We start from the raw sequence: 24,455 nt of genomic DNA, 5'->3' as shown, positions 1-24,455 counted from the left end.
TATTCTCTGAGAAGATGAATGCTTCTCTCCAGCTCTCCTCTTTTCTTTCTGAATGCTTACCAGAAATATCTTTAACATCCATATTTCTACCAACAGTCCCTTTATGGCAATCTAGGCTTTTTCTAGCATAAATCTTAAAACTCTTCCATTTTCTATCAATTACCCAGTTCCAAAGCCACTTCTAGATTGTTAGGTATTTCTTACAGCAACATCCCACTCTTGGTACCAAAATCTGTATTGGTGGTCTCAAGAGAAAAAGAACCAACAGAAGATTATGTATTTATTGCAAGAAATTGGCTAATGCCTTTATGGAAGCTGAGAAGTACCAAGATCTGCAGTGAGCAAGTTGGAGATTCAGGAGAGCCAATAGGATGGTTGCAGCTTGAGTTCATAGGTCTGAAAACCAGGAGAGCCAATGGTTTAAGTTGGAGTCCAGAAGCCACCCACACTAGGAGGACAATCTGCCTTACTTGGTCTGCTGAGTCAAATGTTAATCTCATCCAGAAATACCCTCATAGATAACTGGGATGTTTGATCATAGCCTTTTTCCTTCCCCCACCTTAAAGAGTAGCTTTGTTTGCTTGTCTACTGGGCTTTGGGTCCCTTGTCTTCATCAGGGGGAATGGTGTAAATGAAGAGAAGGAAGGAGAACAGAAGTTGAGACTAGCTGTATTAGTTTGTTCTCATGCTGCTAATAAAGACATACCCAAGACTGGGTAATTTATAAAGGAAAAGAGGTTTAATGGACTCACAGTTCCACATGGCCTGGGAGGCCTCACAGTCCTGGTGGAAGATGGAGGAAGAGCAAAGGGACGTTTTACATGGTGGCAGGAAAGAAAGAATGAGAACCGAGCAAAAGGGGAAACCCCTTACAAAACCATCAGATCTCATGGGACTTATTCACTACCATGAGAACAGTATTGGAGAAACCACTCCCATGATTCAGTTATCTCCCACTGGGTCTCTCCCACAAGTGGGAATTATGGGAGCTACAATTCAGGATGAGATTTGGGTGGGGACACAGCCAAACCATATCACCATCTTTATTAGAGAGGAAAGAGAGCTACCTACAGAAGAAAAGCTCTGGAAGGTAGGAGAAGGGTTAGGAATTCCTGGGATAACTTCCACTGGTGTGGGACTACATTGAACAAAGAGGACGAGAGAGAATTTCCCCTGCTCCCTCTCCTTTCCGTCTATTCAATGACTTGCAGAACTTTTCAAGGCATTGGCAGTGGGATTATTTCTTTTGAATGTGGCATTGTAATGGAACTGGGTCTCGGGGTAAGGATGAGGAAGCCCTTACTGATGTGAGTTGTACACACCCTAAGCGGAATTCCTCAGAATCAGAATGAGAGCCATCTGCTGGGTCTAGCTGCCTGAGGGGCATTGGGTAGTAAGAGAGTCATGGTACCAGGAACAAATCCCTGGGTCTATCTGAGGCATCAGCTCCAAGTTTCAAGACAGACTCTGAAAGCTTTAGCACCTTCTAGGAATAAGAACTGCAGAATAATAAATCCTGCTGGGCAAGCAGTGATCATAAAAGAAAATTCTTGTGGGCTGGTAGGAGGAACTAGTGCACTTAACATCGGGTACAGGAAGGCCTCCCCCAGAGGGACTTACATGTTATCAGGGCTCAACATGAAGAGCTCTATCCACAGCTCTCCAGGTCTGGACCTAACATGAGGGTGGGAACTGGAGTCTGGGGCTCTCTTGTCTCTGGAACCACTCTGGTTATTTCCTGGTGTGGCTGGGGTTACACTGTCTGGCTGTCTCAATAGGTAATAAGACCATAAGTGCTTTCACTTGGCGTCCCATTTTGTCTACATGACAACCTTGGCCAGGTGGAGGATGTAGTAGTTTTCTGGGGCTCCCATAACAAAGCATCCCAGATGGTAATGGTAAACCACAGAAATGTGTGGTCTTACCATTCTAGAGGCTCAAAGTCTGAGATCAAAGTGTGGGCAGGTATGATTTCTTCTTGGAGTGTATGTAGATGGCCACCTTCTTGCTGTGTCCTCATATGGTCATCCCTTTATGCCAGTTTGTGTCCAAATTTCTTATAAGGACCTCAGTCATACTGGATTAAGGCCCACATATATGACATCATTTTACCTTAATTACTTTTTTAAAGGATTTAGCTCCAAATACAGTCACATTGTGGAGCACTGGGGGCTAGGACTTCAACACATAAATTTGAGGGGGATGAGATTCAGCCCATAACAGAGAGCAAGTGCTGTCACCCTCACTTTATAGCTGGGTAAGGGAGAATAAGGGGTCAGGGTCTTTCCTAAGTCCACACATTCCCTGGGACTGAGATTGGAGCCCTAGGCCCTGGACTCCCAATTCACTTCTGTTTCCAGAGCAGCATCAGCCATAGAGGTGAACTTTCATTTATTGGGTATCTTCAGAACATCTAGACTTACAACTTATCAGTGGTCTTCCTTTGAAAGCACTGTCTTCCTTCCCTTGCCCCATCTTAAAGTGGGTTCCCCTAAATGTAGATTACGATTTGAGTGTAAGTTGGGAAGCAAGCCCGGGAGGCACCTGTAAGGGAGTGGGAAAGTGATATAGGGAAGAAAAGCCCATAAAAGATGCGTGAGTGAGCAGGTAGGTTACTGCTGTGGGCAGCTGGGGCTCAATCCTGCTGAGGCTCTCTGGGAGACAATGGAGAACACTGAGGTATTCTCCCAACTCTCAGGGATGAGGGAGCCAGGCTGTTTATCCACAAACTCCTAATGGTCATTGGTTGAGGGCTGATCCCAGGGGTGTTGATTTCTCCAGCATTTCCAGCATGCCCTAGAAAAGGCCATTGATAAGCATGCCTGGGCCTATAGAGTGCTAAGCCCCCGTATTAGTTATCTATTGCTGTGTAACAAATTAATGCAAACTAAGCAACTTAAAACAACACATTTATTATCTCATGGTTTCTGTGGCCAGGAGTTGAGTCTCGGTATGACTTAACTGAGTCCTCTGCTTCAGTGTCTCTCACAAGGCAGAAATCAAGGTGTCAGCCAGGGCTGGGTTCTCAGTGGAAGGCTTAACTGGGGGAGGATCAGCCTCTAAACTTATGTGATGGTTAGTGGGATTCATTTCCTCTAGGACTTTTTTGGACTGAAGTTCTCAGTTTCCAGCTGGCTATTAGCTGGATGTCACCCTCAGTTCCTTGCCATGTAGATCTTCCAAACATGGCTACTAATGAAAGCATGCAGGTCAAGACGCCAACTGAGACAGTCTGCTAGCAAGACAAAGAATCTTATGTAATGTAATCACGGAAGTGAACATCCCATTATCTTTGCCTTATCCTGTCGGTTAGAAGTGAGCCACAGTCGTGCCAGCACCTAAGGAGAGGGTAATACACAGGGCAATGGATACCAGGAGATGGGGCTCACTGTTGCACTGCCAGCTTCTCTCTCTACTAGTTATTCTTGGCCAGAAACATTTTTGTCAGAAGACTTGGAAGATGAGAAATTTTACTGCAAATCAGTCAGAGAGTCTAATTTTAAACTATCTGGCCATGGAGGGTTAGCCAGCTGTGATTTTTCCCCGGTCTGACATGGGGGTCTCTTGTGTTTTTCTGGCCCCAGTTAAGGGCCAGGCATCTTGGGCTTGTTGCAGTGGGAGCTCTGAAGTCTCCTGGTCTCCCATTGACAGTTGGAGCCAACTACAGTTGTGGTTCCTTTTCCTGGATTTTGAAGTGAATTTGAAATTGAGAATTTCTGGAACTTCAATTAAAATTTCATATAGGCTATGAATATGGGAATTAATGAAGTCTTATTTCCTCTCTGACATTTGGACAATTCCTAAAGTCCCAGGATGGCACCACCTTCTCAGTATGCAGTATCAGATAGACCCTGGGAGAGGCCGGACATATATATATAAAAATATATGTAATATATATAATATATATTGTGTATATGTAATATATATAATATATACATATATAAACATAAATATATATATGTATCTCCTGTGATGACTAGGGGAGCAGAATCATTTTTTTTTTTGCCGGGGGGAAGGAGAATGTATTAGTCTTATCAGCCTTTCAGTGTCTTGTACCAGCTCTGCTTTAAAAAGTTTATTTTTGGCCAGGCGTGGTGGCTCACGCCTGTAATCCCAGCACTTTGGGAGGCTGAGACGGGCAGATCACCTGAGGTCAGGAGTTCCAGACCAGCCTGGCCAACATGGTGAAAACCCATATCTACTAAAAATACAAAAATTAGCTGGGTGTGGTGGTGCGTGCCTGTAATCCCGGCTACTCGGGAGGCTGAGGCAGGAGAATCGCTTAAACCTGGGGAGAGGAAGTTGCAGTGAGCTGAGATCATGCCACTGCACTCCAGCCTGGGGGGCAGCATGAGACTCTGTCTCAAAAGAAAAAAAAAAAGTTTATTGTCCCCTCTGGGAGGCCATGCAGTGTAGTGGTTAGGGCCCACAAACTCTGGAGCCACAGCACTTGAGTTTGATTCATTGCTCAGCCACCCACTAGCTGTGTGACCTAGGGCAAGCGACTTAACATCCCTGTGCCTCAGTCTCTTCATCTATAAAATGGGGATGATAATAGTACCACCCTCACAGAGTTTTTGCAAGGATTATGTGAAAATGCATGTAAAGCTCTCAGAACAGTGCCAGGAACCAACAAGGGTTTGCTAGGATTCATGTGAGAAAACAAAATAACACACTAGGAAGAGAAATTTTGGGGGATGGAAATGACTGGGGTGACTTATGAAACCTGCTATTTCTAACAAAAATTCTCCATTCTTTTTGGGGGTTCTATTAAGATATAGAGCCCACCTTACCTGTGACTTCTGAGCTCTGGAGAAGGGGTTCCCTGTTTCTCAGATCTCATCACCCATTAGCACCAAAAGAGCTATGGCTGCCAGGAATGACTCAATAAACATAACACGTCCTGGCTTCTTTGACCAGACAGACCTAGGTCCTGGGGTGGGGAGGGGAAGGGGTTTCATCTTGTGTGGCTGAGCCTGTTGTAATTCTTCTAGCAGGTTTTGACAGGAGAATGGGGAGAAGTCTTGTGGACTCGGTGATTCTGAATGAGAATGAGTGAGAAGCTCTGAGTGTGGAAGGAGGGTGCAGGGACCAGGTATGCATGTATGTTTCTTGGAAGGGGGGCTGAAGCAGAAAGACAAGTTTATCCTGGCATCTAGGGTTGTCGTTAGCATTTTCTTTTCTAAATCAGTAGTAGCTCTCAGAGTGGTGTTTCTAAAGTGTTAGTGTGCAAAGGAATCACTAGGGCTGCTTGTTAAAATTACCAATCCTGAGCCTACCTCCAGAGATTCTGGTTCCACAGCAGCACTGTGGTGGGGGCCAGTGACTTTTGTGGGGGTGTCTGAGGGCTGTGGTGCCCCAGAACCTGGAAGGGCAGAGGGGCCATGATCAGGTTTCAGATCAGTGGCCAGAGGCTTTTCTGGAAGCTGTACATTTTCACAAGCACATTTTCAAAAGCCCTTGGAGAGGATGTTGATTGAGGGGAGTTTTGGGGACTGGTGGAGATTATGGGGGTGAAAAGTCCAGAGCTATCTCTTAACACCCCTACTCTCTGAGGGCCAGGCCTTGAAAGTATTGGAAATGGGAGGTGCCTTAGGTACACTGTCATTTTACAGAGGAAGACAACGAGGCCCAGAGAGGTTAAGTGGGTTGATTAAGGTCTCACAGCTAGTTAAGAGCAGCTCTGAGACGGCAACCGAAGTATTCTGGTTCCCTATCCAGTTCCCCACTCACTACACACCTGTTCCTTCTGGGGCGGGAGACCTGAGGAAGGAAAGGAGTGAGAGGAGAATGTAGTGAGAGTTGGAGAGCGTTGGGTCCACAGCCCCCAAGGGCAGGGCCACAACAAAAATGTTGTCCTGGTTGAAAAGGAGTGAGAATCAGGACAGGGAGAATTTTGGTTTGGAATTCAGTCAAACAATTGCTATTAAAATCACTAATAGAATTATCTTCCGAAGGCTAGCTGTCCTTTCCAGACGAAAAGAAATATTCCAAGTCTAAGACTTTTGCTTTCTTCCTTCCAGGGAGAATACATTCCCCCAAGGGAGCTCTGTTTCAGATTTTCTCCCTAGTAACAGACTCCCCTGCTTAGCTCTGGCCATCCCGGGTAGTGAGTGGTGCGGGGCGGGGGTGGAAGGGGGCTGGAAGCCTGGCTAGGGGGGTCTGCGGCGGCGCGGGCGGGGGCGCTGCGGGGAGGAGGGGGGCGCTGCGGGGCGGTAGTGGGGGTGCTGCGGGGCGAGGCCGCTGCGGGGCGGTGGGGGGCGCTGCGGGCGGGGGCACTGCAGCACCGCGGCCCTCGGGCGGCCGGCGCGGCCTGCTGGAGGGGGCGCTGTGGGCACCGCGCAGCGGCCTTTTGTCAGCGCGCAGGGCCAGGAGAGCTCTCATTTCCTCCCAGCCTCGTGCGGGAAATGGCTTTAATTCTGACGGCAGGGCTGTGAGGGACTAGCGGGAACCCGAGCCTTTTGTCAAGGAACTGCGGCGTCGGTGGCCAGTCATCCCCGCCGCCGCGGAGCCGCTGCACTGCTGGGGGATCTCCCAGCAGCTCTGACGAGCGCGGGCTGCAGCATGGGCAGAAAACGCTGCCCTGCAGATTAGCTGGGTGGATTTTTTAAGCGCACCCCACCCCCCAAACCCATAAAATAACAAAACCAACCCGCAGTGGCCGACCGGAGATAGCTAAGATGCCGCGCAGGAGGTAAGGGTCTGGGGAGCGGGCCTGGTGGGCTGCCTGGGGTCGCTGGTCTCCTGGCGCGGAGACCCTGGCATCCCTCGGCCGGGCGGGAGCCGCTTGGCCCAGGTGGGGCGCGTCTGTTGCCGAGCGCGTCGGTGCTGCAGCCCTGGCCGGCAGCGGTGTGTTTTGCGCCTAAAGGTTTCTGGTGATGATGTAGCATCCGAGGCTCTTAGGAAATCGGGGCTGCAAGCACTGGCCCCTGCTTGGGGATGGTGGGACCCTCGCCCGGAGCGTAACGCCTGACAGGTGGGGCTTTCTTTTGGGTCCGAATGGAGGGGCGGCAAGCCTCGCCTCGCCTAGCCGGGCGGGGCCGCTCCTCCCCTCCCCTCCCTCCCCTCCCCTCTCTTTCCTTCCCGCTCGGCCGCCGCCCTCCGGGGTAGCGGTGCGAGGCGGGCTTGGCGGGGCTGGGCGCGTCCCCCGGGGCCTCGCGATCGCTGGCTGCGCGGCGCTCAGCCGCAGTGGCCGGCCGAGCAGGTGCGGCGTCGGCAGCCGCCTACATTGAGATCGGGGCAACCGGCACGTGAGCGGGCCTCGTGGGTTTTGATTTTATGCGGCTCCACCACTTTGGAGGGAAAAATCCCACTGTACCCGAGGGGGTCTTGCCAGTCTGTTTCTTCCATCTTCCCTCTCCTCTCCCTGCCTCCCCTCCCTTTCTGCAGCCGGGGCGGAGGCCATCCCCGGTCCCGGAGGCGGGAGTCGGTGTCTGCTTATTTTTAAATCACACCACAGCCTACCTGGTGTTGGGGGGAAGGGAGGGAGGGGCAGACTGCTTTAGGATGCAGATCAGGCTCTCGGGTCTGGCCTATTGTCTTGCCTTTTCTCTTCCTTCCTTTTCTCACCCCTAATCTCCATCTCTTGCCCAAAACTAAAAATAGAAAATAGGAAATAGAAATAGAAAATAAAAAAGCAAGCTCCAGCCCACACCCTATCAAATTCTTTAAAAAACTGTCATTTATCTCTGACACATGATTAATACCCATCTGTTTCCTTACACCCACTCTTCCCTCTTGCTGTTTGTCGTCTAAGATTCAACTGACTCAGATGAGCTTTATCGATAATAGAAATCAAATCTCAGTTTCCTAAATGCACATTTCGTGCTTCCCGAGTAACCCAAAAGGAGTGGTTGGTCTGGCATCCTGGCAGAAGCAAAGGGATTGGAGAGGGTGCAAGCAACTGCTTTCATGTCTAGTTTGTGGATCTAGCTGGGATTCCTGAGATGTTTAACTTGTGCAGTGAGGGGTGTTCTCATTAATGGCATTAGAAAATTATGTTCCGTTTTAAGAGAAAAATAGCAAGTCAGCATTTGAAGTAAAAGTGTTTTAAATGAATCTGACCAAAGAAGAGAACTATGACGTTTCAGACTTGCAAATAATATCTCCATTAGCATATGAATAATATATGTTAGAGACTTAAAAGGGGGGTTTAGACCATTTAATATTTTTACTTTATAAGGTTCTACTTTAATTGTGTAATGTGATCAAACTTTTCTCTGTAGAGACTTTTCTCCTATAGATCAGGATCTTGCCCAGCCTTTCTTCCCTACTCCTCCCTGCATAGGGCACAAGTAAAAGCAAAGTTTTCATTATTGGTATGATGTCAACACATTTTGAAAAACCACTAAAGATAAATTATTCTTTGATCCAAAATCCATAAGAATTTTGTAGTAAGCCCTATGTTCTTTCTTGTCCACCAAATTGCCTAGCCTTATTAGAAATATGCTTGTCATATACACAATGTACAACAATGCCTGACATGATATGCTGTGGTTTCTAGGCTTGGATTGAATTTGTTTTAAATATTAGTATAGTGTTGGAATTAGCAAATCTCAGCTATTCTTAAGGTTAACAGTTGAGCAAATGTGTTTGCTGGCAGTGGGTTTAGTGTTAAGATTTTAAATATATATAAAAAAGACTAGTAGATATATTTATTTATTACCACCTCTTCCACAAGGGATTTAAGATAGTTTACAGGGATTCATAAATATGGCAAGGCAGCCTAACTTGGAAGTAGTTGGGAAAGAAAAAAGGACACTAAGGGTGGAGTCATAAAATGGTCTTAAGCGTGAGGCTGATACAAAAACATGAGCATGAGACCTTCTACAATGGCTACGGGCAGGAAACAAAAACAGCTCTAAACTTTCTTGCAGCATAAGCAAAAAAGAAATTGACGAACCCATGGCTTATATGTTTTATTTATTTGTTAAACTCATTCACACACTTCTTCACTCAACAAACATTCAGTGAGGACTTACTACGTGCCAGGTTCTGTAAGACGTACTGGGAACAAAGGGATAAAGCAGATAGACGTGGTCTGTGTCTAATGGGCGCTTAAAGACAAATGCAAGAAATGGACACTCATCAAGAAATCTCTCAAATGAATATATAATTACAAATTGTGATAACAGCTATGTGGGAAAAACACAAAACACAAAACATTATATGGCCAGAACATAAAAACACAACAATTCTTTTTTATTTTTTATGTTTTATATTTTTTTGAGACACAATCTCATTCTGTTGCCCAGGCTGGAGCGCAGTGGCATGATCTCGGCTCACTGCAACCTCCACCTCCTGGCTTCAAGTGATTCTCACGCCTCAGCCTCCCGAATAGCTGGGACTACAGGTGCGTGTCACCACGCCCGGCTAATTTTTGCATTTTTAGTAGAGACGGGGTTTCGCCATGTTGGCCAGGCTGGTCTCAAATCCTTGGCCTCAAGCGATCCACCTGCCTCTGCCTACCAGAGTGCTGGGATTACAAGTGTGAGCCACTTTGCCCAACCAACAGTTCTTGATTCCGAGACCAGAAAGGAACTTTTTCCTAATGTGACATAGTGTTTGAAATGATGCCTTCGATCACCTCCTCATCAGACACAAGGACAAGTTTCATAGGGTTGTTTTTCACAATGGCCCTCAGCATGAGCTAATGATATCATGCCACAGGTCTCTCAGCCCCCTGGGGTTCTGAAGATATACGTATTTTGAAAGATCTGTGTATTCTCTGACATTAGTGGTTTTATTCCAGTGATAATCTTTTTTGCGGAATCTTGCTCTGTCACCCAGACTGTTTGAGTAGGGATCTTGCTCTGTTACCCAGGCTGGAATGCAGTGGCATGATCATAGTTCCCTGTAGCCGGGACCTCCTGGGCTCAAGCGATCCTCCCACCTCTCCCTCCTGAGTAGCTGTGACTACAGGCATGAGCCACTATGCCTGGCCTATTCCAGTGATAATCATAAATAATTAGCAGTAAAAATGTGTTCTGGATCATCTTGATGGCAAGGCTGAAACTGATGCTGGAGTCTGCGTTTGCCTTTGTATCTTTCCATTTGAGCCATGGGCAGGCCTGGTGGCTCCAGCCACAGCCTGGGTGAAGGGAAGGGGAGTTGGAATAGTGGAGAGAGTGAGTCTACACAGGACACACACAACTTGCCAACTCCAAAAGAACAGCTCCTGGCGACCACTGCTCTATTGGCAGGGATTGAAGATCTCACGCCAGTTCATCTTTGTATGGATCAAGTTTGCAGCAATTTATTAGCAGCAGATGTAGTAAAAACACAACAGAAAAGTTGCTGTTGTGGATTTTAACAATATTTGAATTAGATCTTCATTTAATGCATATTTAGTAACTCTCCAATAGGTACCTTACATCTAAGAAAATGAGATGGGGCCGGGCGCGGTGGCTCACGCCTGTAATTCCAGCACTTTGGGAGGCCGAGGCAGGTGGATCACCTGAGGTCAGGAGTTCGAGACCAGCATGACCAACATAGTGAAACCCCATCTCTACTAAAAATACAAAAATTAGCTGAGCATGGTGGTGGGCAACTGTAATCTCAGCTACTCGGGAGGCTGAGGCAGGAGAATCACTTGAATCCTGGAGGCAGAGGTTGCAGTGAGCCGAGATCACACCACTGCACTCCAGCCTGGGCAACAGAGCGAGACTCCAACTCAAAAAAAAAAAGAAAAGAAAATGAGATGGGTAATTTGTTCTGATGGTTAAGTGACACCAGACTGTCTGACTTCAAAAATTATTTTTCTACTTACTAGCTGTGAGAGTTTAGGCAAGTTATTCAACCTCTCTCCTGCTCAATTTCCTATAATAATATAGGAATAAATATATGGCATTGATTGCATGGTGATATTATAAGAATGAGTTGTTACATGTGAAAGACTTACCTATTGCAATAAATTAATTTTATTACTTTGATATTTTAAAGTGGATAGTTGTATTTGTACATTGTTTTGGCATTTTAATAATATAAAAGCTGTAAAGCATAGGTGTTTAGAACTGGTATTTATGAGTATACATATTTAAGTTACATTTTAATAAAAGTGACTTAGGTCAACCATGAGGTCATGAGAAATTTTTTCTGCCAAAAGGGATGTTTATATAGTTTAAGCATTTTGAACTATGTACAGGGACACACACAGATTCTTGGAATAGAAATTTGAATCTTTAGAAGAGATTGCAGCCACAATATTTGACTCCACATACATTGGCTGCTACAATTTTAGCCTGAAAGAATTTTAAAGCAATAATATGAAAAACTGCCTGTCTTCAATGACAACCACCACCAAATCTTCCAAACTCGAAGAGCACTCATGGAATGGCAGGCTTTTAGTAAAGATTTCATCCCGGTCTGTCTTCCAAGATAAACTACATAGGAAAGCTTTGCCAATGTTACTGAAAGAGATGAAGAGAAAGTGTATCCTCTGTGGAGTCTAAACTTCAGTTGTATAGATTTAAATGAGTTTATTGATTATGTTATTCAAATTTATTTTAAACTTTTCTTTGTACCTAAGTGATCTGTCAAAGAATACAAAAGATGTTAGTCTCAAATGATATTTTTGGCTGGGTGTGGTGGCTCACGCCTGTAATCCCAGCACTTTGGGAGGCCGAGGCAGGTGGATCACCTGAGGTCAGGAGTTCCAGACCAGCCTGGCCAACATGGTGAAACCTCGTCTCTACTAAAAATACAAAAATTAGCTGGGTGTGGTGGTGGGCGCCTCTAATCCCAGCTATTCCAGAGGCTGTGGCAGGAGAATTGCTTGAACCCGGGAGGCGGAGGTTGCAGTGAGCCGAGATCACACCATTGCACTCCAGCCTGGGCAACAAGAATGAAACTCCATCTCCAAAAAAAAAAAAAAGAAAATGAAATTTTTGACCGCTTTCCTTTTGCTATGTCCTTTAGCATGCCCTTTAAATCCATATAATATAGTTATATTTATATATTTATTTGATATATAATTATGTAATTATATATATAAACATGTATTTGTGTATATTTTATATGTTTTTACATAGTTATATTTGATGCTGTATTACTCAGGGCCCTGATTGCCCAGGACTGATGGGTTTTCTGGGATGAGGGATTTTCAGTGCTAAAGCTGGGACAGTGCCAGGCAAATGGGGATGACTGGTTATCCTCTGTGACACAAATGTTGTGACCCTTGACTCTCCATTGTGGGGTGAATCTTCCATATTTCCAGACCTGCTTTGTCTCATTGTATTTTTATTTTTGTCTTAAATTTTACTGTGTGATAAGAAATCTGGTCCTGCCTTCTTTCTGTTTCCATTTCCCTGGTGTGATGCTCATTCTCTTTCTTCTTAAGCTTTCTTCTTTTACGTCATTTTGATTTTTGTCTATTTTAAGCATCATAATTGGATTTTTAATCCAATTGTGACTCAATTTACATTTATTATATGTGATACAGTCACAGATCTTCTAAAATTTTATTTTACATTAAAAAAATTCCAAGCTATTTTTCCACCCCCTTTCTTAACTTAAATGTAGTGTAAGAGTCCCTTGTTCTTTAGATAAAAGGGAAATTTTCTGCCCATTTTTTTCTACTAGTCTTCATTAACATTAAAAAATATAGTTGTGTTGGCCAGGCGCGGTGGCTCACGCCTGTAATCCCAGCACTTCAGGAGGCCAGGGCGGGTAGATCGTGAGGTCAGGAGATCGGCCATCCTGGCTAATATGGTGAAACCCCGTCTGTACTAAAAATACAAAAAATTAGCCAGGCGTGGTGGCGGGCACCTGTAGTCCCAGCTACTCGGGAGGCTGAGGCAGGAGAATGGCATGAACCCGGGAGGCAGAGCTTGCAGTGAGCCGAGATTGCACCACTGCACTCCAGCCTGAGCAACAGAACGATACTCTGTCTCAAAAAAAAAAAAAGTTGTGTCTATTTGTTCTTTCATAAATAATGAGAGATTTAGTATACTTTAATTCCTTCCTTCCTTCCTTTTTTTTTTTTTTTTTTCTGTCACCCAGGCTGGAGTGCAGTGGTACAATCTCATCTCACTGCAACCTCTGTCTCCTGGGTTCAAGTGATTCTTGTGCCTCAGCCTCCTGAGTAGCTGGGATTACAGGCACCTGCCACCACGCCCGGCTAATTTTGTATTTTTAGTAGAGACCAGGTTTCACCATGTTGGCCAGGCAGGTCTCAAACTCCTGATCTCAGGTGATCCACCCACCTCGGCCTCCCAAAGTGCTGGGATTACAGGTGTAAGCCACTGTGCCCAGCTTTAATTTCTTTTTTGTTGCCCATCTACCCCCACTAACTTTTTGCCTTAAAAACATTTTGGCTTTTAGATCCAGATTATTGTCTTTAAAAAAAAAAAAAAGTAATGCATGCTTTTGCTTTCCAGAATTATTTTTGACATTTATGTTTCCTAACCATACTAACAGCTGCTATCTAGACTGAGAGTTACATAGGTTACAATACTCAGTCCATTTCCTATGCTCAATCTTCATTTTTACTTATTCCTTGATTAGTTGGAATCTTTTTCAGGAAAGATAGTATATTCCGGTAGTTCTTGCTTGCCTAAGAACTTCTTTATGTTGCTGTTTCACAGTAACATCATCCTTTTGGGGCATACACTTCTTCATCTTAATCTTTTTACCTAAAAACTCCAAATATTATTCTTTTGTCTTCTGGCATTTTGTATGATGGAAGATAAGTTGTGGCCAACTTTATCAAAATAACTATGAAAGTCCACAAAAGTTTTGTTTCTTTCCCTTGTAATGACTACTTTATTTAAAAAAACCTTAAAATATATAAAACATAACACAGATATAGGAAAGGACATGAAACAAATGTGCAGTTTAGTGAAATATTATAAAGTGAATGCCCGTGTGACCACCATGCAGGTCAAGAAGCAGGACACAGCCAGCTCCCAGAGCCCAGTGCACCCTTGAACCACACCCTGCTTCCCCCTGGAGGTAACAACTCACCTTCCTTTTATGGTAACCATTTTCTTGCTTGCTTTTATAATTTTATAATCTAAATTTGCATCCTCAAACAAAGTACATCAGACTTGTTTCTCTGAAACTTTAAAAAATTAGAACTGTACCATTTGTATCTTATTCATTGTTATAACATCTCCATGGTGACTACTTTGATGCTTCAAAAAATATATATCAAATTTATTCCAAGAATATTTGGAGCCCTACTTTGCTTGGTGCTCTAAATTGGGGAATCCAGCACAGCCAAGAAGGAAGTGGTTTGTGTAAGACAGTGGTCAGTTTTAGACAAGACGAGTTTGAGGTGGGGATGGCCAGCAGAGAGGCAGACGTATGCATGTGTCATGGCTGGGACCCGAGATCTGAGTTGCAGGTTCAGGGTTATAAACACGCACGTGTAGGTTTCAAGATGGCACCATGGACCTAAATATTTGCCTTTCTTTTCTTCAAAGTGTCCAAAGACAAATATAGTAAGGAAAACATCGATTTGAGTTTTAGAGAAGAGAACAAACACTGGGCCTAGATTCTTTAAGGACTCTGTAAAAGTTAGAGTACAGATGGTGCCAGCCAATATCACCCAGCCCATGAGTATCAACAAGGGGCTTTCCTGGGAAGAAGCAGTGGTGTCCTCTCAGCTGAGTGCTAGTATCCCCAGGCTCAATGAAACAGGGCTAGATGGGCTGTGGTATGGTCAGTGGGGTGGGGATGAGGGATATAAATCTAAGGGCCGTGGGAAATCTATCAGCACTGCCACCTTGAGTGGCAGATCCCCATCTTAGTCTGCCTGTGTTGCTATGAAGGAATATCCAAGGCTGGGTAATTTATAGAGAAAAGGTTTACTTTTCTCATGATTCTACTGGCTGGAAGACTGGGCAGCTTGTGGAAGCCTCAGGCCACTTCCACTCCTGACAGAAAGCAAAGGGGAGCTGGCGTGTGCAGAGATCACATGGCAAGAGAGGAAGCAAGAGAGAGGGGAGGAGATGCCAGGCTCTTCTTAACAACCAGCTGTCATGGGAATGAAAAGAGTGAGAACTCACTCACTACTGCAAGAATGGCTCCAAGCCATTCATGAGGGATCCACCACCATGACCCAAACACCTCCCACCAGGTACCCCCTCCTTCAACATGGGCTTTGGAGGGATCAAATATCCAAACCACAGCACCCTCAGTTCCTCAGACATGTGCTGAGGGAGCTCCCAGTAAAGTGGGGATTTAATATATCCAGCTTCAAACAAGGTTGATTCTGATCACTTCACCAGATGCAGCTAAAAATAAAGATACAAAAGTATGTAAATAAACGCTATTCCACCCAGCAGTAAATACCTGTAATGTATTTGATCTAACATAGGGCCTCATCCTGCAAGCTTCCAGGGCAGGATCTGGAGGCCAGGGAGCTTAGGATCTAGGTACCTGAATACAAATTTCAGTGCTCCATTTAATGCCTGGAATGGTTTTCTCTGTGCCTTTTTTCCAGCTGTGAAGTGGCTGAAAAAAACTTTCTAAGCCAAGTAGTAAATCCCTGTGGCTTCTATCAGTAGCAGCTCTAAGGACCATTTGACATCCTTCACCCCATCCCCATGGCTCCCTGAATTGATGACAATTCTAGTAGTTTCCATGAGTCCAGGCTAGACTTTGGTTTCCATGTCGATGTTGCCTTCCATTCTGCCTGGGCTACTTTGCTTGGGTTCCTGTTTCATATGGCCACACTGCCCCTGGCTGAAACTCTGGATTACTTTAGAGTCCCCCCACCTTCTTCCCTGCTTCCAGCCCAGTCTTCCTCCATCCATAGTTTATTATTATTGTTTTTCTGAGACAAGGTCTCGCTCTGTTGCCCAGGCTGGAGTGCAGCAGTGCAATCATGGCTCACTGCAGCCTTAACCTCCTGGGCTCAAGCAATCCTCCCATCTCAACCTCCCAAGTAGCTGGGAGTACAGTGTATGCCAACATGCCTGGCTTATTTTTTTTAAAATTCTGGTAGAGACGAGGTCTCACTATGTTGCATAGTTGATCTTTTTAAAACAAAAATCTAATCTCATCATTTCTCTACCCTCCGGATAAAGCCCAAGCTCCTTACCTGCCTCAACTGCTTTTCCTCTTTTTCCTTTACGCTCTACCCTCTAGGTAGGCTGAACTACTCCATTTTTCTGAACATGCTTTCCCACCCTCCCAACCCTTCCAAAACAACTCTTTCCACCTCCTTATATGCCCTCTCCCCACCTTTTATCCAGCCAGTTAGTTCTTTTAGAAAGCCAATAAAATAGGCAAACTTCCAGAAAGCCTAATTAAGATACAAAGGCAAAAAAATTCACAAAGCTAGAAATGACATATGGAGCAGCATGGAGAAAAGATGTAAAATCTCAAGAACATTGTGCATTATTGTATCCCATCATCTGTGAAAATCTTGATGAAATGGACTATTTCCACTGAAAATATGCATTACCAATATTTACTCAAGAAACAGAATGTCATGTTCCCAGATGGGAAGAACCGATGTTATAAAGATGTCGATCCCTCACAGTTCCTGCCGCGTGAATGGCAGCCTCCCTGGTAACCAGAAGTGATGGAGATTTGTTCCTATTTTTACGTTCCTTCGGTAATTTTCTGTGGAATTTTGAAAGGGTCGTTAAATGTTTGTGCTTGATTGTGAATCATTTTATTGAAGGGAAAATCAATACAAGGGCATTTGAATGTTATTTTTAAATTGTTTTTCTCAAAGAACAAATGAAGTTATTAAACTTTGAAATGCATGGAGGCTTTATGAAACAATTTCATTTAACAATGGATGTGATTTTCTGCTTGTGTTATTTTATTGAGTATGAATTTTATCATGTTTGCTTTCTTTACTCGGCATGGAGTCTCCATAAGAATATCTAGGGGTTTACTTTCAAAAATCTACCGTGAAAAGACAGGACAGGAAAAGTGAGGGCGGGTTTGATTCTTTCCTGCTTTCCTCATGTCAGATGGCAGAGCATCCATACTGATTATCTCAGCATCCCTTTTTTTAGAATTTATTCTCCTTCCCTCTTAACACCATATTTCTCTTAAATCTTTCCAACACCCTCATTTGTGTCTTAAATTAGCTACGTCTGTTACCATAGTTATGCAGTATCCAGCTTAACCATTCCACACTCATTCCCACCATACTGTGTGTGAGACTTCCTCTCTCTTATTTCATAAAATATATCATTATTTTTCTTTATTCGTCTCCTGTCCCCAAACTTTTAGTTTTTAAGGCAACACTTGTTCATACTTAATGAATCAAATAGGACTGAAGGGCTTCTAATAAAAGGCAACAATCCCTGTACAAATCCCCCCCCCCCACAAATCCCTTATCCACAGGCAAACCAATTTTAGCTGTGTTTTTTTGTTCTGCTGTAGATACCTCTGTATCCCAAAATAATATGCATGTACTGCTGTTTCTGAATGTATCAACTGTGATCATTGTCTAGTGACTTTCTGCCATAAAAATTAAGGTTGAACCAGCCGGGCACGGTGGCTTATCCCTGTAATCCCAGCACTTTGGGAGGCCGAGGCAGATGGATCACTTGAGGTCAGGAGTTCAAGATCAGCCTGACCAACTTGGTGAAACCCTGTCTCTACTGAAAGTACAAAATTAGCCAGGTGTGGTGGGGCATGCCTGTAATCCCAGCTGCTTGGGAGGCTGAGGCAGGAGAATCGCGTGAACCTGGGAGGCAGAGTTTGCAGTGAGCCGAGATCACACCATTGCACTCCAGCCTGGGCAACAAGAGCTAAACTCTGTTTCAAAAGGAAAAACAAACAAAAAACCCTCAAGGTTGAAGCTTACTTGCACTACAACTCCATCTCTTCACCTCTCTTCTGGCCATCCCCACAACTCCAGACAATAGATTCACTACAACCAGATTTCCCATTCCATCCACTGTTGATCGTGTCACCTGACTCTATGCCATAGATAAGGCTATTACCACCACGTCTCCTTGCCTGCTCCCTCCTTCTCTAGCTGTACATTTACTTTTGTACTATCAAAGTTGATAAAATACTCTATTTCCTAGCCATCGTTGGTTTCTATGATTTGTCTATAAGGTAATTAAAACAAATGAAAACTCCTAACAGTGTTCAGTATCTGACTGAGTTGATATTGCTTACTGCACAATAAGTAGCATGCTAGGATTTCATCTTTCTTAGGACTCCAATGTCTCAATCCAGGGTGAAATTCACATGAATTGTTATCTGGGGCTCCGTAAGTGACCCACAGAGATAGGCTTTAATCTGCGGGCACCAACACCACCATAGTAGGGCTCTAGTTCTCTCCTGCAGTGTGTGCAGTTTCTCTAAGAACACCCATCTAGTGATTGAAGCTAATAAATCCAAAAAGAACTGTGTCTGCATGCTATTTTGAGATAAAGAGTTAACTCAACTGAGTGCCTGACTGGGGACCGCTGTATGTTGGGGGAGGAAAGGGGGTAGGCAGGATCTGCTGCTCTGTATAGAGACCTGCAATTTGTGCTTGTGTTCAGCCTCTTTTATTTTTCTTTCTTTCTCTTTTTTTTTTTTTTTTCTTTTTTTTGCTGAGATGAAGTTTCACTTTTGTTGCCCAGGCTGGAGTGCAATGGCGTGATCTCGGCTCACTGCAACCTCTGCCTCCCGGGTTCAAGCGATTCTCCTGCCTCAGCCTCCCAAGTACCTGGGGTTACAGGCATGTGCCACCATGCCTAGCTGATTTTTGTATTTTTAGTAGAGACAGGGTTTCACCATGTTGGCCAGGCTGGTCTCGAACTCCTGACCTCATGATCTGCCCACCTCGGCCTCCCAAAGTGCTGGGATTACAGGCGTGAGCCACCGTGCCCGGCCGTAAACATTTTTTAAAATAGATAAATTTGACCTGGATAGCAGCCCCACTGTTCATTTTTATGAGGAGAGGGAGGGAGGGCTAAATAAAAAATATTTAAGAAAATGTGCATTTACATTTGCTGGAGGTGTACTAGATGATGAGTAATTGGTCACAATGGTAGGTAAGTGTATCGTTCAACCCAGCTCATCAGTCAGTCAACAAGTGTTTACTGAACACCTTCTATGTGTGGTTACTGTGCAGTGCTGGGGATGCCACGAGCCAAGAGTTTACACTCTAGTGAGGAGAGACAGACACTAAGCATAAAAACAAACAGGTTCAAGCATTGATACCCATTATGCAGAAGATAAACTCATTTTAACCTGAGGGAGGAGGCTGCTTTAGCCAGAGTGGTCAGGGAAGGCTCTTTTGGGAGGCAGCAGTGAGCTGTTGCAGGTGGGTTCGTGAGACGGATCAGAGGATAAGCTAGTGCTGGCTGATTGCAGGCATTTTCATTATGCTATTTGAGGCCACATCATTGGCCGAGAGTGGAGCGAAGAGGGAGTCAGGGAGATTTGAGATGAGAAGGTGGGAAATGATCCTGTTGAAGAGTCTGTACTTCGAGAGAAGGGCAGGTTGCTTGGCAATGTTAAGAAATCATCTGAAAGGTGTAGAGGGTAATTTGAAGTGAGTCCAGTCCACAGAGTTTTGTGCAAGGGTCAATGGCCCAGATGCAGGCAGGGGCAAGGTCACATAGGGTTTAACTAAGGGTGGGACTCTGTGAGGTAGAAACAGTGGTGGGTGAGAGGGCAGAGGAGTTAGAGGTGTTTTGCAAGGGAATGGTTATCCAGTTGGATAATTTAAGCTACATGAGAAGAGATGGGAAAAGTAGAGTTGGAGATAGATAATTAAAAGGTGATTAGCAGGTATCAGAGATGTTGGAGAATTGCTAGGAGGTGGGGTGCCAGAGCTGGGCTGGAAGGGGATGGTCAGAGTAGGATGTTGACATCCACACATTGAAAGTGGTGATCTTGGTAGCAGCAAGATCTAGGGTATGACCACGGGAGAGGGTGACTGAGGCTGGGGTGGAAGGAGAGATAAGTGGCATTGGAGGCCACGAAGATGTGATGGTGGGTGTCGGGTGGATCACCATGTAGATGTCAACGTCGGCAGGAATGAGTAAGGAGAGTGGTGGAGGGGAAGATGGTTAGCCAGGAGCTGGAGTCCTCGGAGAATGAGAGGAGTGGCTGGGCAGTAGAGGAGAGTAACAAGGAGGAGTGACAGGAAGTCAAGTTGGAAGACTGTGCTTCCAAGGTGATGGGGTTTTGAAGGAGTGGAAATAGATAGAGGTGACTATAGGGCTGGAGGAGATGTGCACCCAGGCCCTGAGTACCTGGGATGTGGAAGAGAGTGCTGTGGGGCAATAGTGTCCTGTGGGAGAGCCACATTTTAGCTTCTTCGTTTGTGGATCACAGAAGTGGGCTTTATGTAGCTGAATTTGGAAGTGCTGCGAAGAATTATGTGATTGTTCAATTCGATTGGTTTCCAAGCAGGAAGGAAGGTAACCAAGGAGGCATTATTGACTTTGGGCTTGTTCAAAACTCAGTTAAAGGCAATTAACAGTACTTGGTGTTGTTTACCAAAGCACTTGTCTCAGGAGGGATCTCCTAGCAGTTCTTGTGAATTGTAGGAACTCCCTCCCTTGAGGCATCTTGTGTTTTCATGTCATTAATTCCTGCCTCACCCCTCAGCCATAAATCTCATGGAGGGGATAGAAGGCTTCTGTCTTTTTGTATCATCATCTTGCTGTGGCTCTGTGATGACGCCCTTGTCTAGCCTTGTTCTGCTGACGGTGACCTTTAATGTAATAAAATGCTTACAGGAATAATGAGAATTGATGGAGAAGATGCACTTTCTTGTGATTTATGCCTCTATGCATTAGAACATGAGGACATTTTGGAGGAATGAAGCATGTTATGGGAGAGCGTAGGCTTTTTCAGATGCATGGCTGAAAATCTCAAAAAAGCATCCTGTGCTACCTGGCAGTTCTAAGGCATTTACTTTATCACTTTCCAGAATGACGAATTCACTCCTCTTTTCTCCAAATTTCCTTTCCTCTCCACCCCACCCACCTTTCTGGGTGCCTCCAGCTTCATTGAGAAACAGAAACAGTGATCCCGGAGCTCTCCTGTCTTCCCACCCCCCAACCCCTGACACACATCCCTGACATGCTGCTCTGGGTTGAGTGGCCCCTGCTTCTATCAGAGGCCATCTTTTCTTCTGGGCTCTGGGACCTTTTCCCTCTCACCATCTCAAAAACACCACCATGGCAATTGGCTTTTCTCTTTTCTGCATCATCAACCTCTTTCTTCCTTCCCCCCTCCTCCCATTTCTCCCTTTATGTTCTCCTTGAAAGAGTTGCCTTTGCTCTGTATCTCTTCCTGTTCCCCACTGTTTATACTTGTCCTCTTTTATGGCACTGAGGCTATTCTTGTCAAGATCATTGAAGATGACCTCCATATTGCCAAATCTAATGGCCTCTTCTCTGTTCTTATCTTACTTGACCTGTCAGCAGCACTCAACACTGTTGACCACTTCTTGAAACATTTGGATTATCTGGCCTGGAATACTGCCCTTTTCTGGTTTTCCCTTACCTCACTTGCTGTTCCTCCTTTTCTTCTGTGCAGTTCCTTTTCCTCCACCAGACCTCTAAGTGTGAGAGAGCTTTGCCCTGCACCACTTTGTCTTCCTTATACACTCTTTCTGGTGAACTCTTTTGGGCCTTGGCTTTAGACTTCATTTTTGTGCTGATGAATCCAAAGTTCCTATCTCCCCAGAACTCTACTTCATTGCTTCTGGAACTTTACTGTACACACTGATCACCTGGGGATCCTGTTAAAATGTAGATTCCAGTCTCATTTGTCTGGAGTGGGGCCTGAGAGTTTGCATTTCCAATAAGCTCCCAGCGATGCTGATGTTGCTGGTCTCCGGATCTTACTTTGGGTAGTGAGGCTGAAAACCTGTATATCCAACTGCTTCCCTGACATTTCTACATGCATGTCTTACAGGCGTCTCAGACCAACCCTAAATGACCCTCTTAGAGCTCTTGATTTCTTTACTCAAACCCATTTCTCTCTGCATTTTCCTTGTGTCATCATCCCAGTTGCACAAGCCAAAGATTTTGGAGTTGTCCTTGGTTTCTCTTTCCTTCACTTTTTCATCCAGTCTATCAGCAAATTCTGCTGGCTCAGTCCTCCAAAACATATCCCAAATCTTTCTACTTGGCTCCATTATAATAGTAGTAGCTGATATTTATTCAGTACTTCCTGCATGTCAGGCTGTGTTAATGACATATATTTATATTTATAAGTATTTAAAGTCTAATCATCACAATAACCCTGTGAGGTAGGTGGTATTATTATTCTCATTTCTTGGATAAGAAAAGTGGACACATAAAAGGCAATAAATAATTATTTGCAGATGGAATACATGAATAAACTTTATAACTTATAACTAGGTAACCCTACATAGACCTGCAGTTAATGACCTAAAAAAACCCAATTTATTCTCTTGGTTTATTTTTCTCCCTTGTTATGAATATAATACTCAATAATGCCATTGATATGCTTAGAGAATTAGGGTTTCTGTGTCCTTGTTAGGCACCAATGACATTGCAAATGTCCATTGGCAAATGTCCAAAGCGCGTGTGTGTTACAGAATTTGTAGTGTCTTTGGCTTGAAACCATTTTTGACAAAGGCTATATGCATTTAAGGCACTAAAAATGTTTATGTTTGATAATTACAATGTCTTGATGTGCTTTGCTGAAACATTGTGTCTTGTGTGCCCTTGTGAAAAGCGGCGACTCTTGTATTTCCCATCATATCCTTGCATTTTCTGGAACTGGGGAGATATCTTGAGAGAATGACTTCAAGCTCCAAGATGTGTTCCTTTTCTTAAGTTTCCTTTATCTTGATTGATTTTGAGAATATTGTTCTCTGTGCTGGTTATCACAGTTACAGTGTATGATGATAAATGATTGGTGCTCTGGATAAAACAACCTAAATAGTCAAGTAGATGGAAACAAGCTCATATGACCAAAGTCTAAAAGAATCGAGTTGTTTCGATTGGAGAAGAGCAGTTAAGCAACTACTTTCTTATGCCGTTTATTGTAAAGGAAATCTTTAGTAAGCTTTTTAATAAAGTAAAGACATCTTTTGTAATGTGAATAATTAACCTAGTTTTAGGAGTGTAAGTTTCTTTTAAGAATGGGAAAGGGAGATACATTCATTTTTGTCCTAGTAGTTTCTATCACAACCCTCCAAAAGAATCTCTCTCTTAGGACTTTTAATATGCTAAGGCAAACATAACACCAAACGTAACACTGTATTCCTTTTTCTAGTTTAGTTCAAAGAGACATCCTAGGAAGTAAGATTTTTCTATATAAGTGGACTCAGAAAAGCTAACAAGGTACCCTAAGCATTAGTAAGGGCCTGCTGCTCCGACCTCATCCCAACCAGCCCTGCCCATCTTTAGGTTTCTGAGTAACAAGCGTCAACTGTTATATACTGAAACATTCCCTCTGGAATTCCAGAGTGTCAAAGTGGAAGGGATCAAACAGATCTTCCAGTCCAACCTCTTCATTATAGAAATCAGACACATGAAGCTGAGAAAAGATAAGGCACTGATCCAAGGTGAGGCAGATTAATTAATGGCAAATTCAAGGCTCCTGAAAAGTTTTTCTTTAGGGCATTTATATTCAAATGTCAGCGTCTCCCATTTTTAAAGTCAGAGTTTTCAAGATGCTATTTGATTTCAAGGAAACGTGACAGGAAGCATATCAATTTTTTATAAGAATGTAAAATATGGTAGAGGAGCTAGGGTGTGGGGAGGCAGTTTCTCTACATGGCCAGGTCTCAGTGTTGGCCCTTAATTCTCATTCCTGGACACAGGAAAAAATTATAGTAATTTAGACATGGTTATAATGCTACAGAGTATATTAATTTCCCAGGGCTGCCTTTACATGGAGATGGCTTAAATGGAGATCTCCTTAAATGGAGATGGCTTGACATAACTGAAATGTATTCTCTCTCAATTCTGAAGGCTAGAGGTCTGAAATCAAACTGCTGACAAGGCCGTGCTCCCTCTGAAGGCTCTAGGGTACTCCTTCCCTGTTTCTTCCTACCTTTGGAGGGTGGCAGTAATTCTTGGCATTCCTTGGCTTGCAGCTACATCAATCCAGTCTCTACCTCTGTCATCACATGGTCTTTCCTCTGTGTGTGTGTGTCTTCTCTATGACTTTGATGACTAAATCTTCCCATTCCTTATAAGGATGCTGACCATTGGATTTAGGACCTACCCTAATCCACTATGACTTCATCTTCACTTGATTGCATCTGCAGAGATCCTGTTTCTAAATAAGGACAAATTCACAGGTTTCAGGTGGATATGAATTGTTGGGAGACACTTTGGGGACATGAATTTTGAGAGACTTTTATGTTTCAACATTTGCTAAGAATTTATGTTTGTACCTCCTGGAAAGGCATGATGTTTCCCTGGTTGAGAGAAAGAAAAAGAAAGAGCGAGCATGAGCACGTGCACACTTGGAGCATTGTTTCCTAAGGTATATTTGGTGGGACATTATTCCCAAGAGATGTAACATGAAATAAGTGTCCATGG

At 44.1% G+C, this 24,455-nt stretch overlaps 1 protein-coding gene across 5 annotated transcripts in view, besides 4 other annotated features; it reads left to right on the top strand.

Moving 5' to 3' along the window:
- Positions 3,008–3,057: an enhancer, noted in NCBI's record as "active region_16008". NCBI's record gives its function as "activates an Ori minimal core promoter by ATAC-STARR-seq in GM12878 lymphoblastoid cells {active_cell/tissue: GM12878}" and the evidence as "EXISTENCE:reporter gene assay evidence [ECO:0000049][PMID:35858748]".
- Positions 5,140–5,704: an enhancer, noted in NCBI's record as "H3K27ac-H3K4me1 hESC enhancer chr2:70996008-70996572 (GRCh37/hg19 assembly coordinates)". NCBI's record gives its function as "activates a minimal SCP1, AML or CMV promoter by ChIP-STARR-seq in primed H9 embryonic stem cells {active_cell/tissue: H9 hESC(primed)}" and the evidence as "EXISTENCE:reporter gene assay evidence [ECO:0000049][PMID:30033119]".
- Positions 6,114–6,679: an enhancer, noted in NCBI's record as "H3K27ac-H3K4me1 hESC enhancer chr2:70995033-70995598 (GRCh37/hg19 assembly coordinates)". NCBI's record gives its function as "activates a minimal SCP1, AML or CMV promoter by ChIP-STARR-seq in naive H9 embryonic stem cells {active_cell/tissue: H9 hESC(naive)}" and the evidence as "EXISTENCE:reporter gene assay evidence [ECO:0000049][PMID:30033119]".
- The window catches only part of ADD2 (adducin 2), a 111,417-nt gene continuing 93,341 nt past the window's right edge, over positions 6,380–24,455 (top strand). For 4 of the 5 annotated variants that reach the window (NM_001617.4, NM_017488.4, NM_001185055.2 and 1 more), the window contains exon 1: positions 6,380–6,694. Coding sequence is in view for 1 of the 5 variants with exons in the window: in NM_001185055.2 (NP_001171984.1) it covers positions 6,681–6,694 (14 nt within the window). In the remaining 4 variants the exon portion in view is untranslated. Of the gene's footprint in view, positions 6,695–6,864; positions 6,977–24,455 lie in introns of those variants that run through there. The other variant, NM_001185054.2, reaches the window with a different exon arrangement.
- Positions 6,680–7,245: an enhancer, noted in NCBI's record as "H3K27ac-H3K4me1 hESC enhancer chr2:70994467-70995032 (GRCh37/hg19 assembly coordinates)". NCBI's record gives its function as "activates a minimal SCP1, AML or CMV promoter by ChIP-STARR-seq in naive H9 embryonic stem cells {active_cell/tissue: H9 hESC(naive)}" and the evidence as "EXISTENCE:reporter gene assay evidence [ECO:0000049][PMID:30033119]".

This window comes from Homo sapiens, chromosome 2, assembly GCF_000001405.40.
Source record: "Homo sapiens chromosome 2, GRCh38.p14 Primary Assembly".
In the NCBI taxonomy this organism is placed as follows: domain Eukaryota; kingdom Metazoa; phylum Chordata; class Mammalia; order Primates; family Hominidae; genus Homo; species Homo sapiens.
This window is presented reverse-complemented; position numbering and strand designations above follow the sequence as displayed.